This window comes from Homo sapiens, chromosome 20, assembly GCF_000001405.40.
Source record: "Homo sapiens chromosome 20, GRCh38.p14 Primary Assembly".
Taxonomy (NCBI): domain Eukaryota; kingdom Metazoa; phylum Chordata; class Mammalia; order Primates; family Hominidae; genus Homo; species Homo sapiens.
In genome coordinates this window covers 18,578,279-18,591,316 of record NC_000020.11, presented here as the reverse complement: position 1 = coordinate 18,591,316, position 13,038 = coordinate 18,578,279, and the positions used below count along the sequence as shown (strand labels likewise).

The following is a 13,038-nucleotide window of genomic DNA, read 5'->3' as shown; positions in this document are numbered from 1 at the left end:
TTATCTGCTTAGATTCTAGAATCACTGTCAAAGAATTTTGACAGTTTTATAATTATCTTAACATGAAACAAATTATGGCCCAAAGTCTATATATGACACAGAGACTGCTGTCTTATTTTGGAGCAGTTTTGTCCCCCCTCCAGGGACAAGTAGAAGGACTAGGAGATTCAAAAGGATTTTTTATTATAAGTAAATGGATCACCAAGGGAAAAAATCTGAGAATCACCACTTTGAACAAAAGATCAAAGGGCTGGAAAAGACTGAGATGTTTGGTCAATTTTTCTACCTACTAGTGGCATCAGACCTGAGATCTCTACTTCAAGAATTCATAACCTTTGAAGTTAACCTAGTTAAACCCAAACATTTTAGATCCTCTTCCAACACTGTTCACAGACATCAAATTTTAGCTGCTGACAATGAATGATGGGACATGGGGGTTATTGCCCTATTCCGTCTGTTAATATGTTTGAAATGTGCCATAATAAACTTTTAAAAATTAGATTATCACAGTACCCAACCTAAGGCATCAAAATGTGTTTGATCAAGCTGGGTGCAGTGGCTCATGCCTGTAATCCCAGCACTTTGGGAAGCCGAGGCAGGCAAATCACTTGAGGCCAGGAATTTGAGACCAGCCTAGTCAACATGGCAAAACCCTGTCTCCACTAAAAATACAAAAAAATTAGCCAGGCACAGTGGCGCGCACCTGTAAGACCAGCTACTCAGGACACAGAGGCATGAGAATCGCTTGAACCCAGGAGGCAGAGGCTGCAGTGATCAGAGATGGCACCACTGTACTCCAGCCTCGGCAACAGAGCAAGACTCTCTCAAAACAAAAACAAAACCAATTAGCCAATTGGAGAAATCTGATGGACTGGGCATCAAATGATATTACAGGGTTACTATAAAAAAAAATGTGTTTGACCAATCACATAAATTGAATATACCACATAGTAAAATGTGTGACTCCTAAGCTGGACATAGCGGTGGCGGCACACGCCTGTAGTCTAACTACTCAGGATGCTGAAACTAAAGGATCACTTGAGCCCAAGCGTTTGAGGTTGTAGTAAGCTATAATAGTGCCACTGCACTCCAGCCTGGGTGACAGAGCAAGACCCCATCTCTAAAACAAACAAACCATAAATGCATAAATTTAAAATAAATGTGAAGTCAACCAACTATTTTAAAATAAAATAAAATGTGTGACTCCTGATAATCTATGCTGTCCTGACCATAAAACAGGAAGTTAACATTTTAGAACCCCTAAAATAAAATGCCATTCAAACACAGCCACATTTCAGTGAAACCAGCCACATTTTAAAGGAATCAGAAAATCCCTTTCCATTACAATGCAACTAGAAGGCCTGCATAAGTGGAGGGCCCTTCTAACAGAATTCCACAGTTCCCCAACCCAGAATTCCCGAATTATTTACACTTTCCCATAATTAACACCCTTATCTTTTTTAATATGCAGGTTTGGTTGTTTTAACTGAAAGCATATAACTTAAATAGTGAACCAAAATAACCCAAACTCTTATTCAGCACATCTCACAGAATACACATTTTCAATATTCCAGATTAGCAGGATGGAGAGTTCAGGAGAGAGATCAAAATTTAAATCTGTCAGTGACGACCACACACAGCAGCAGACTGCAAGGTTCTTCTCAATAATGCAAAACATCTTTCATCTATGAATTTTCCCAGTTTTCATGAATTTAAATATCTACAGAAATGTTATAAAAGCTTTAAAATTCCTAAATCCCAGTGCTACTCTATTCCCTATTATTCCAGGACCATTTCCAAAACCAAAGCTACCAGAACAGCTTAGAAATCATTAGGCGGGGTTGAAAAATAGACTCTTAGATTTAAATATACGGTTTTGGTGGGTTTGGTTGTTTCTTTAGGGTTTTTTGTTGTTTTTGTTTTGTTTTGTTTTTTGTTTTGGGGTTTTGTTTGTTTGTTGTTTTTTGAGACAGAGTCTCGCTCTGTCGCCCAGGCTGGAGGTTACTGGCACAATCTCGGCTCACTGCAACCTCTGCCTCCCGGGTTCAAGCGATTCTCCTACCTCAGCCTCCCGAGTAGCTGGGATTATAGGCACCAACCACCGCTCCCGGCTAATTTTTGTATTTGTAGTAGAGATAGGGTTTCTCTATGTTGGCCAGGCTGGTCTCGAACTCCTGGCCTCAGGTGATCTGCCCGCCTTGGCCTCCCAAAGAGCTGGGATTACAGGTGTGAGCCACAGCCCCCGGCCTGTTTTGTTTTTAATTCATACTTTTGTGGACACAAGAACGCATATTTGGTGCAGACTGGCTCCAAGGACAGGATATCTGAAATTATTTGAACTGAAACAATATAGTTGTGCCAATAAAGACAGAAAAGACTAAAGACAATATAAAGCTTGTCATTTAAATGTTTTTTAAAAAATATCTTTCGTACCGTGGTTTTCTTAAAACGACTACTTTATCTACACTAATCATCTGGACCTCTGATGCCCAACCGAGACGAAAGTGCTGAGTGATGACCAGGGGTCGGGTAGCTTGGTCCACAAGAAAAAGAGAAATGTTTTCATCTTGAATTCTTTAGATCCCGACCCCTCCGCGCAGAGTTCAGCGGGCGAGGGCGAGGGGCGTCCTGGGCAGGGGGCGCCCCTCATCCAGCCTAGGCTCCAGTCACGTACGTGCACGCAACTGTCAAAGCTCAGCCCAAGGAGCAACTCTCCGCATCTGTGCATTTCATCCTGAGTCAAGCCCCATAAAAATTGGAATACGTAAAAATGGGCAAAAATTGAACATTTAAAATACAGCAGTGAAAAGGGAGGAGTGCCTGCTCCGGAAATGCTCTAAGCGTGGTTCATCAACACTCCCTGAAGAGCGGACCACGGAGATGCTCCGAGGCTCCGCCATCCCGCACGCAGGACAAAGGTGCTGAGAATGAGGCGCGCTGGTCCTGCACCCTCTGCCGAGAGCCGGAAGCCAGGGGCGCGCCGGGGCCGGTCGGGCACGTGCAGGGGGCTCTCCGGCCGCCGCGCTGCCCCGAAGCCGGCCCTGGGGACTCGCGGCTGCGCGGACCGAGCTCGCGAAGGGGACCAGGCTCGCGGAGGGGCCGCAGCGGCCCCAAGGATGGCGCAGGAAGACCCCCCACGCAAGACAGCCGGTCGCGGGGGTCAGGGGCGGCTCCTCCCGGGCCCGGCCCCGCCCGACTGACCTGTGACGCTGGCCCGGGTGACGCGCTGCACCACGGCCTTCATGGCGGCGGCTGGGGCGAGTGGGGCGGCGCCGCGCTGCGTCCGGCCTCGCGACTCTGAGGGCGGCTCCGCAGCCGGCGCCCTCTGGAGGTGACACCCGGAAGCGCGCCCAACTGGCCGGTCCGACTCGGTCGGCTGCTACCCACCCCACGTCGGCCACGCCCACTCTCGGCCTGGCGATAGGCCCACCCACTCATAGATTGACTCCGCCTATGCCTGCCACGCCCACCTGCTGCCCAACCGTAACCCCGCCCGTCATTGAAAAGCCCAGTCCCCACGCTCGGCCCTGCCCCATCCACATCTGGGTCCCGCCAGAGCCCTTTGATCCCCCCATCCCGGGCCCAGCCCCTACCCAGTGCCCAGAACCCACTCTGCCCCGAAGGTAGTCTCTATGCTGGTTTTTTTCTCCCACATACCCGAACCTAAGAACCCGTCATCACTAAGCCTTTAAATTCAGCCTGAATCCTATTTCTAATTGTATTCCTCTTTCCTCTTCCACTCCTCTGCACGCAGATCCTCCCAAATTCTTCTTCCTTGTCTTCCTGCCTCAGTGGCTTTTCAGATACCACATACAAAAGGATCTGCTGCCTAAAATAGCCATTTACCTATCTCACTATTAATTCGACTTAGCCATGTCATGATAATAAATAGGTATGTGATTCTAGAATTCTAATTTCTCATGTAATATAAATGCTACTAATTGGCCCCCTCACTGGGTTGTTAGATTTAAATGAACCAAACCACGTAAAAGTGCTTAGATGGCAGCAAAGGGCTGTACAACTATTACCCCAACAAATTATTATCATTGCTAAAAATAATTCCATCTCAGCAGTCTTCACCTTAAAGGTGACTAATAGCATTGGTGGGCGTAGAAAAGGCACTGAAATTGAGAAGAAACCCTCACTTGCCCAGAAAAGACTACAAACTAGTGTGCTTGTTTGTTAAATACTGAATACTAAATTGCCTTAATAACGTTGTCAAAGTTAACATAACCAGTAACAAGACATCATGTGCCTCCTGATATTGCACTGGGAAGGACACAACATCAATCTTGTGGTATTTCTGCCAAATAATGTATAACCTGAATCCAATCATGATGAAACATAGGACAAAAATAAATTGAGGAACATTCTACAAAATAACCAGGTAGGATTCCGAGAATTAAGGAGGATTTTTTTTTTTTTTTTTTTTGAGATGCAGTTTTGCTCTTGTGGCCCAGGCTGAAGTGCAATGGTGTGATCTTGGCTATCCACAACTTCTGCCTCCTGGGTTCAAGCAATTCTTCTGCCTCAACCTCCTGAGTAGCTGGGATTACAAGCATGCGCCGCCACGCCCGGCTAATTTTGTATTTTTATTAAAGATGAGATTTCTCCATGTTGGTCAGGCTGGTCTCGAACTCCCGACCTCAGGTGATCTGCCCGCTTTGGCCTCCCAAAGTGCTGGGATTACAGGCATGAGCCACTGCGCCCAGCCGTGGACTTTTTAAAAGACAGGAAAACTACCTGTAATCCCAGCACTTTGGGAGGTCAAGGTGGGCGGATCATTGGAGGTCAGGAGTTCGAGGCCTGCCTGGCCAACATGGTGAAACCCCGTCTCTACTAAAAATACAAAAATTAGCCAGGCATGGCAGCGCATGCCTGTAATCCCAGCTACTCGGGAGGCTGAGGCAAGAAAATTGCTTGAACCCGGGAGGCGGAGGTTACGGTGAGCCGATATCGTGCCACTGCACTCCAGCCTGGGTGACAAAGCAAGACTCTGTCTCAAAAAAAAAAAAAAAAAAAAAAAAGACAGGAAAACTAAATTAACCTGGGTGGTATCCTGGCCAGAAAAATCAAGAAAAGGAAAAGCTTATTATTGGAACAACTGGTAAAATTTGAGTTTTTGAAAAATCAGCAGGTCTCAATATTTTGATCACAGGATCCCTTTACATTCTTAAAAATTATTGGGCACAAAGTATAGCTTTTGTTTAGGTGGATTATATCTAAAAATGTTTACTGTTTTTAACTAAGAGAAATAGTTAACATGGATTTATCAATGCATTTAAAAATAGCAATAATAAATCCCCTACATATGAATATCAGAGCAATGAAGTCACTATATGTCACGGAGCCCCTGGAAAACTCCATTGTGCACTCCTGAAAGAATAAGACTAAAAAAGGGAAAATTGGGCTGGTCGTGGTGGTTCACGCCTGTAATTCCAGCACTTTGGGAGGCTGAGGCAGGTGGATCACTTGAGGTCAGGAGTTCAAGACCAGCCTGGCCAACATGGTGAAACCCCATCTCTACTAAAAATACAAAAATTAGCCAGGCGTGATGGTGGGCACCTATAATCCCAGCTACTTGGGAGGCTGAGGCACAGGAATCACTTGAAACCGAGAGGCGGAGGTTGCAGTGAGCCAGGATCACTGCCACTGCACTCCAGCCTGGGTGACAAAGTAAACCTGTGTCTCAAAAAAAAAAAAAAAAGTTAACATACTTAAAATGGAATTCAAAATGTTCACCCCTATGGTACAATAAAGACTTTGGCCTTTGTTAATTCTGGGTTTCTGGCATGGAGCTTTAAAAATTCTTGGAATTTCTCAAGAGACAGGAGTATCTTTGTTATTCATGAGCTCCTTGATTATTCCTGAGTTTACTAACAAGACAATTCAGATTGGGAGCTGGTCACTGGAAAGACCAATAGTGACTGGATGTCTGAGCCAGCCCAACCTGTGGGAGGGGTAGAAGACAGAGATTGAGTTCAACCTGTGGCCAATGATTCAATCAGTCATGCTTACATGATGAAATCCCAGGAAAGACTCTGGACATTGAAGCTTCATTGAGCTTCCTGGTTGCTGAACACATTGATGTGCTGGGAGGGTAATGGCCCTGATTCCGCAGGGAGAAAGCACAGAGGCTCTGTGTTTGGTACTCTCGCAGACCTTGCCTAACATATCTCATTTGACTGGTCCTAATTTGTATTATTTATAATAAAACTATAAATGATAATTACAGCACTTTCCTCAGTTCCATGAGTGATTCTAGTGCATTATCAACCCTAGGGAGTCATGGATACTCCTGACTGTGTAGCCAGTTGGTCTGAAGTGCAAGTGGTTTGGGGACACCCAAGTGTGGTTGGCACCTGAAATAGGGGCAATCTTTTTGGGAAACGTACCCTTAAACTTGCAGGATCTGTTCTAACTCCAGGTGATTCCTGCCAGAGTTGAACTGCAATTCACCAGTTGGTGTTCAATGAACCCCGAAGCCCTTCATACTCCACCATAAGAGTCATACCTTTTTTTTTTTTTTTTTTTTTGGAGACAGAGTCTCGCTCTGTCACCCAGGCTGGAGTGCAATGGCTCGTTCTGGCTCACTGCAACCTCCACCTTCCAGGCTCAAGTGATTCTCCTGCCTCAGACTTCTGAGTAGCTGGGATTACAGGTGCTGCCACCATGCCCAGCTAATTTTTGTATTTTTAGTAGAGATGGGGTTTCACCATGTTGGCCAGGCTGTTCTCAAACTCCTCACCTCAAGTAATCCGCCTGCCGTGGCCTCCCAAAGTGCTGGGATTACAGGCATGGGCCATCGCACCTGGAAAATCCCCACTTAAATAAGTGGCTCCACTTGTTTACTGGAGCCAGAAGTAACCTGTGATTGCTCTCTTCCCCATTCCCTAAGTATCTCGTCCATCAGCAAATCTTCTCCCTCTCCAAAACCTATCCCAAAGTGCCCTCTTCTCTCCATCCCTCCTGCAGCATCCTGCTCCACCATTCTTTCCCACTTGGATTTCTACCACACCTTCCTCACTGGTCTTCCTACCTCCCCTTTGTCCTTCTCCAATCCATTCTCCAGGCACAGATGAAAGTGATGCTCTTAGAATATAAAGTCTTAACAATCCAGACTCTGACCACCTTTAAATTCCTCAAATAGTCTTTGGTTGCTAGCTCAGGACTTTAGGATCTGCTCTTGCTCCACCTGGAACAGGTAGGTTCCTCTACATTCATTCACTCTTTGTACAACACACTCCTCTCCTGCCTTTAGGTATTCAGCTTCAATGCCACCTCCTCAGATAGACCTTCTCTGTCCACACCAAGAAAAGTAGGTGTTCCTGCTCCCTGTTTTTCTCATGTTTGTCCTGTGGGTTTTCTCTCATAATCTTCTGGCTACTTTCAATGAGTCTATTTGCCTGGTAAGCTGTGTTCTTCTACCTGTGTCTCTCATGCTTACCACTGAATCCTCAGCATCTAACACAGTACCTGGGGCTCAGGTAATATTGCCAAAGGAATAAGTGTGAGAAGCCAATTTTTTGGCTTAACAGTGTATCATGGATTTACAGTATTTCTCTATTAATAGATGTGCAGATGCTAAGAGCTAATATATGCATTGTAATTCCCCTAAACAATTTTTTCTATTGACGAATATTTAGGTCTGGATCAGTTGGGATGTTTTTTCGTTGCATGGAACTCAAAATGGCTCAAACTTTTAAGAAATGTGTTATTTCCGAGTAGCTGGGCCTACAGGCGCCTGCCACCATGCCCTGCTAAGGCAGGAGAATGGCGTGAACCCAGGAGGCGGAGTTTGCAGTGAGCCGAGATCATGCCACTGCACTCCAGCCTGAGCAACAGAGTGAGACTCCATTTCAAAAAAAGAAATGTGTTATTTCATTGGAACCTTTGTGCACTTTTTTTTTTTTTTTTTTAGATGGAGTCTCGCTCTGTCACCCAGGCTGGAGTGCAGCGGCACAATCTTGGCTCACTGCAACCTCCGCCTCCCAGGTTCAAGCGATTCTCCTGCCTCAGCCTGCTGAGTAGCTGAAATTACAGGCGCGCGCCACCACATCCGGCTAATTTTTGTATTTTTAGTAGTGACAGGGTTTCACCATGTTGGTCAGGCTGGTCTCAAACTCCTGACCTTGTGATCCACCCACCTCGGCCTCCCAAAGTGCTGGGATTACAGATGTGAGCCACCATGCCCAGCCCTCCTTGTGCACTATTGATAGGACTGTAAAATGGTGCAGCTGCTATAGAAAACAATATGGAGGTTTCTCAAAAAATAAAAAATAGAAGTAATAACCCAGCAACCATATAATCCAGCAATCCTACTGCTGAGTATATGTGCAAAAGAATTGAAAGTAGGTTCTCAAAGAATATTTGAACATCCATGTTCAAAGCTGCACTATTCGTAATGATTAAGAGGTGGAGGCAACTCAAATGCCTGTTGACAAATGAATGGATAAACAAATATAGTATATCCATACAGTGGAATATTATCCAGCCTTAATAAGAAGGAAATCTTGTCAAATGCTACAATATGGATGAATCTTAAGGACACTATGCTACTTGAAATAAGTCAGTCACAAAAAAAGGCAAATACTGTATGATTCCACTTACATGAGATATCTGAAGTAGTCAAATTCACAGAAACAGAAAGATGAATGGTGGTTACTAGCGGCTGGGGGGTGGAGAAAGGGAATTGTTGTTTGATGGGTACAGAATTTCAGATTTGCAAGATTAAAAAGGTCTGGAGATCTGTTTCACAACAATGTCAATATGCTTCACACTACTGAACTGCACACATAAAATGGTTAACATGGTAAATTGTATGTTGTGTGCTTTGTGCCACGAGAAGAAAAAAAGGAAAAAGAGAAAGAAGAAATATATTTGACCTGACAAGGCAGCTCCAAAGTTAACCAAGATCAGGAACCCAGTTCTTTCCCTCTTTCTGCTCTGTCACCCCAGCATGTTGGCTTTTCTCGGGCACCCCACAAGCCTGAGAGATGGCTGTGGCTGTTCTAGGCACCCCACCCAGACACAATGTCCTGATGAACAGCAGACCATCTCTTCCTGGCCCTTCCACTGAAGCTAGGATATCTTGCTCAGAGGCCCTCCTACTTAACTCGCCAGGATGAGGTCACACCACCATGCTTATGCGAATTACTGGTAAGGGAGACGGGGCATACTCTCACCCAAGACTGGCTCAGACAAGAGGTTCTCACCTGCAGGGGAGACAGTTCTCCAGGGTGCACGAGATGTGTGTACGGAGGAAAATCTGGACCTGGGAGGCTGTTGGTAGCATTCAGTGTCCAGGGGACTTGAAATTCTCAAGCTCTTGCAACACCTGGGGCAGCCTACAGAATGGATCATCCTGTCCACAATGCCAGCAGTGCCATCTTTGAGAAATACTGACATGGACCAATCAGGACTTGCCCTCTGGAGCTAGGCTAGTCCCCCTGAAGCACATGGTGGGGTGGATTGAGGGGTCTGTTATAAAGCAGGAATGGGGGAAGTGGATGTTGGGAAGACAGCCGGGAGTGTCTCTCAAAAGGTTGATTTCAGTTCGGTGTCATTTTGAACAAGTTACAATGAAGAACCTTCTGCCTACAGCTCTTCATTTATCTCTTTAAGTTCTTGAAAGTGGGATTGCTGGGTGAAAGGTTGTGCCCATTTTCCTTTTTGATACACACTGCTAAACTGGCCTGCTGAAGTATGTTAACACCAATGTAGGCCAGGTGCAGTGGTTCACATCTGTAATCCCAGCACTTTGGGAGGCTGAGGCGGGAGGATCACTTGAAGCCAGGAGTTCGAGACTGGTCTGGGCAAAATGACAAGACTGTCTCTACAAAAAAAATTTAAAGTTAGCCAGGCATGGGTGTGTGTGCCTGTAGCTCCAGCTACTCAGGAGGATGAGGCAGAGGATCGCTTGAGCCCAGGAGTTCAAGGCTACAGTGAGCTATAATGCCTGGGTCACAGAGCAAGACCCTGTCACTATTAAAAAAAAAAAAAAATATATATATATATATAGATATAGATATATAGATATATATTCCTACTTTCAAAGGACAGGCAAGTATTGATGGGAAGAGTAATTGCCTGGGTTACCATAGTGAAGAAAGCAACACAGATGGAGGACTACAGAAGACTGGATTTATAAGAAAGAAGGAGGCCAGCCATGGTGCCTCACACTTGTAATCCCAGCACTTTAGGAGGCTGAAGCAGGAGGATTATTTGAGCCCAGGGGTTTGAGACCACCCTGGGCAACATAGCAAAATCTAGTGTCCACAGACAAAAAAAGAAAGAAAGAAGGTATTGCACATCTGGCTTTCAGGAATGTCTAAAACATACTTTACTCCTAAGAACAATGGCATGTGCAAGTGAAGTGCTTGAGCATACACAAAGAACTTTCTCATTTGAGAGACATAACGCCGTTAGTGAACAAGCAGATACATACTCTTCTTCAAAAGGCATGGATGCTCAGAAAACGCAGGTGATTCTTCTGCCATGGAAAGATAGGTTCACTTTTTTTGTTGTTGTTGTTGAGACGGAGCCTCACTCTGTCTCCCAGGCTGGAGTGCAGTGGTTTGATCTCAGCTCACTGCAACCTCCACCTCCCCAGTTCAAGCGATTCTCCTGCCTCAGCCTCCTGAGTAGCTGGGATACAGGCGTGCGCCATCACGCCTGGCTTATTTTTGTATTTTTAGTAGATACGTGGTTTCGCCATGTTGGCCAGGCTGGTCTCAAACTCCTGACCTCAGATGATCCACCCACCTCAGCCTCCCAAAGTGCTCGGATTACAGGCATGAGCCACCATGCCTAGCCAGGTTTGCTTTTTAAAAATAAATTAAGGAGGAGGTGTAATGTGCTTACAGCAACAGAAACTGTAACAGACTCAAGTAACAATGGCTTAAACTACATAGAAGTTGATTCTTTCTCTCATAAATTCCTGGGCTAGGATGGTACTCCACAGGCCACAGAACTGAATTATTTCTGCTTTGTTGTTCTACCATCCATCATTCATCTGAGTGGTCCGAGATGGCTCATGGGGGAAAGGGACATCAGAAAGGGACGGACATGTCCATGACTGCACTCAGCGCTCTTGCTCAGACTCCCTTAGAAACAGGGCCCCACTCCCTGAGAAAGAAGCTGGGCCATGATTCAATGAGGCCTCAGACTTGGGTAAATACTCCTGTGGAAGTATTTGCCATGCTAATGAAGTAACTTTTTCCAGTCATTTTATTTTATTTTGAGACCTGGTTTCACTCCGTTGCCTCAGCTGGAGTTCAGTGTCATGATCTCAGCTCACTGCTGCCTCTGACTCCTGGGTTCAAGAGATTCTCCCACCTCAGCCTCTCAAGTAGCTGGGACAACAGACATGCACCACCATGACCAGCTACGTTTTTTGTATTTTTGGTAGAGACAGGGCTTCACCATTTTTCCCAGGCAGGCCTTTAATTCCTGAGCTCCAGCCATCCACCCCCCTTGCCCTCCCAAAGTGCTGGGATTACAGGTGTGCGCCACTGTGCCCAGCCGCAATCATTTTAAATAGAAAATATTATTGACCTAATATAAATCTGACATGAATAACTATTTACACAGTCCCTATGAATTATGAATCTAATAATTATTTTCCTGTTCCTACAGGGTGATGACTATTGAAGGTACTCCATAGACGTGATATGAATATGTGAATGAATAAGTGAAGGAAGAAAGAGTGAAAAAATTGAACTGCCTAGCTTGTGTTCCTGCTTCTGAATTAGTTGTACTATGGGAGACATCATCTGTTTAATACTAATATCTGAGCCAGGCACAGTGTCTCACGCCTGTAATCCCAGCACTTTGGGAGGCCGAGGCGGGAGGATCACTTGAGGTCAGGAACTTGAGACCAGCCTGGCCAACATGGTGAAACCCCATCTCTACTAAAAATACAAATATTAGCCAGGTGTGGTGCGCATGCCTCTAATCCCAGCTATTTGGGAGGCTGAGGCAGGAGAATCGCTTGAACCCCAGAAGGCGGAGGTTGCAGAGGCAAGATCACACCACTGCACTCTCCAGCCTGGGCAACAGAGAGAGACTCCATCTCAAAAAAAAAAAAAAAAAAAAAAAAAAAAACAGAAACAATACTAATATCTGGATATAGCTTTTTCCTTTGCCACTAGAATAAAATATATTTAATACTAAAGTTCCCTTTGTGTATTCAACCTTTCTTTGATGATACAAGACGCTGCTGTATCCCAAGTCATCTACCACCACTCCATTAGATAGCAAATACATAAAGCCAGTGGGTACAATGTGTGGCCAAACTGCTACTTACCCTAAATCCACTTCACTTTTGTTCTTAATAGAGCCCTGATGGTAGTTTCTGACTTGTTCTCTGGCTCTCACGAAAGCATGAAACATCCTGGTAACTGGAGCACTCTGGCATTTGGATTTTAGAAAAGTAAAAAGTCTTCCGTGTTTCTTTTCAAAACGTATAGTCAATACCTCCGTTTCTTTGCTTTATGAGAGGAAGTTCATATGGTGCCAAAAGCTTAGACTTTGGTGCCAGAAAAACCACGGCTTCTGTGCTAGCTCTGCCACTTTCTATATGACCTTAGGAAATGTGACTTAGCCTGATTCAGCTTCAGTCTTCTTATCTGTTAAGTGCGGATAATATCTTGTCTTCATGATTGCAGTGAGGAGTAAATATAACACAGGAGCACTCAAAAAACAATCTTGCAGCAAACAATCTAAGTATATTTTCACAACCACACAGATATGATTGGGCCATGTCTGTCATTTTGGAAATGATGATAGGTCATATAATTAATCTTAAAAGTCTAATTCAGGCAGTTAAAGCAGAGCTCCCCAGAGGGTTGAAAGCCCAGTGCTGTGTGTGCTAGAACCCGTGGGAGCACAGCACCCTAAAAAGCATGGTTTTCATTCCATCAGGGTGAGTTTCTGTTGCTAGGAGCACCTTAACTCCATCACTTCTTTGACATCAGCCATTTCAACATTTTTCTCTAATCCATCAGCATACAAATTGGGGAGTGATTTTCTTCTCTG

General features: G+C 45.0%; 1 protein-coding gene and 1 long non-coding RNA gene across 3 annotated transcripts in view, besides 5 other annotated features; one reads left to right on the top strand and one right to left on the bottom strand.

Moving 5' to 3' along the window:
• DTD1 (D-aminoacyl-tRNA deacylase 1) overlaps nucleotides 1-3,263 on the bottom strand; it is a 178,591-nt gene extending 175,328 nt beyond the window's left edge. For both annotated transcript variants that reach the window (NM_080820.6, NM_001318043.2), the window contains exon 1: nucleotides 3,202-3,263. In NM_080820.6, the coding sequence (NP_543010.3) occupies nucleotides 3,202-3,244 (43 nt within the window). In that variant the 5' untranslated portion in view covers nucleotides 3,245-3,263. The remainder of the gene's footprint in view (nucleotides 1-3,201) is intronic.
• Nucleotides 2,627-3,126: an enhancer, noted in NCBI's record as "H3K27ac hESC enhancer chr20:18568835-18569334 (GRCh37/hg19 assembly coordinates)". NCBI's record gives its function as "activates a minimal SCP1, AML or CMV promoter by ChIP-STARR-seq in naive H9 embryonic stem cells {active_cell/tissue: H9 hESC(naive)}" and the evidence as "EXISTENCE:reporter gene assay evidence [ECO:0000049][PMID:30033119]".
• Nucleotides 2,627-3,436: a biological region, named in NCBI's record as "H3K27ac hESC enhancer GRCh37_chr20:18568835-18569334".
• Nucleotides 2,727-2,786: an enhancer, noted in NCBI's record as "active region_17593". NCBI's record gives its function as "activates an Ori minimal core promoter by ATAC-STARR-seq in GM12878 lymphoblastoid cells {active_cell/tissue: GM12878}" and the evidence as "EXISTENCE:reporter gene assay evidence [ECO:0000049][PMID:35858748]".
• Nucleotides 2,897-3,436: a silencer, noted in NCBI's record as "silent region_12703". NCBI's record gives its function as "represses an Ori minimal core promoter by ATAC-STARR-seq in GM12878 lymphoblastoid cells {active_cell/tissue: GM12878}" and the evidence as "EXISTENCE:reporter gene assay evidence [ECO:0000049][PMID:35858748]".
• LOC124904878 (uncharacterized) lies at nucleotides 3,852-11,718 on the top strand. The gene is made up of 3 exons (XR_007067547.1): nucleotides 3,852-3,892; nucleotides 7,073-7,204; nucleotides 11,638-11,718. It is a non-coding gene; the product is annotated as an uncharacterized LOC124904878 (long non-coding RNA).
• Nucleotides 5,798-6,092: an enhancer, noted in NCBI's record as "tiled region #13138; HepG2 Activating DNase unmatched - State 8:EnhW, and K562 Activating DNase matched - State 9:DNaseU". NCBI's record gives its function as "activates a minimal TATA promoter and a strong SV40 promoter by Sharpr-MPRA in HepG2 and K562 cells {active_cell/tissue: HepG2 | K562}" and the evidence as "EXISTENCE:reporter gene assay evidence [ECO:0000049][PMID:27701403]".
• Nucleotides 11,719-13,038: the final 1,320 nt, after the last annotated feature.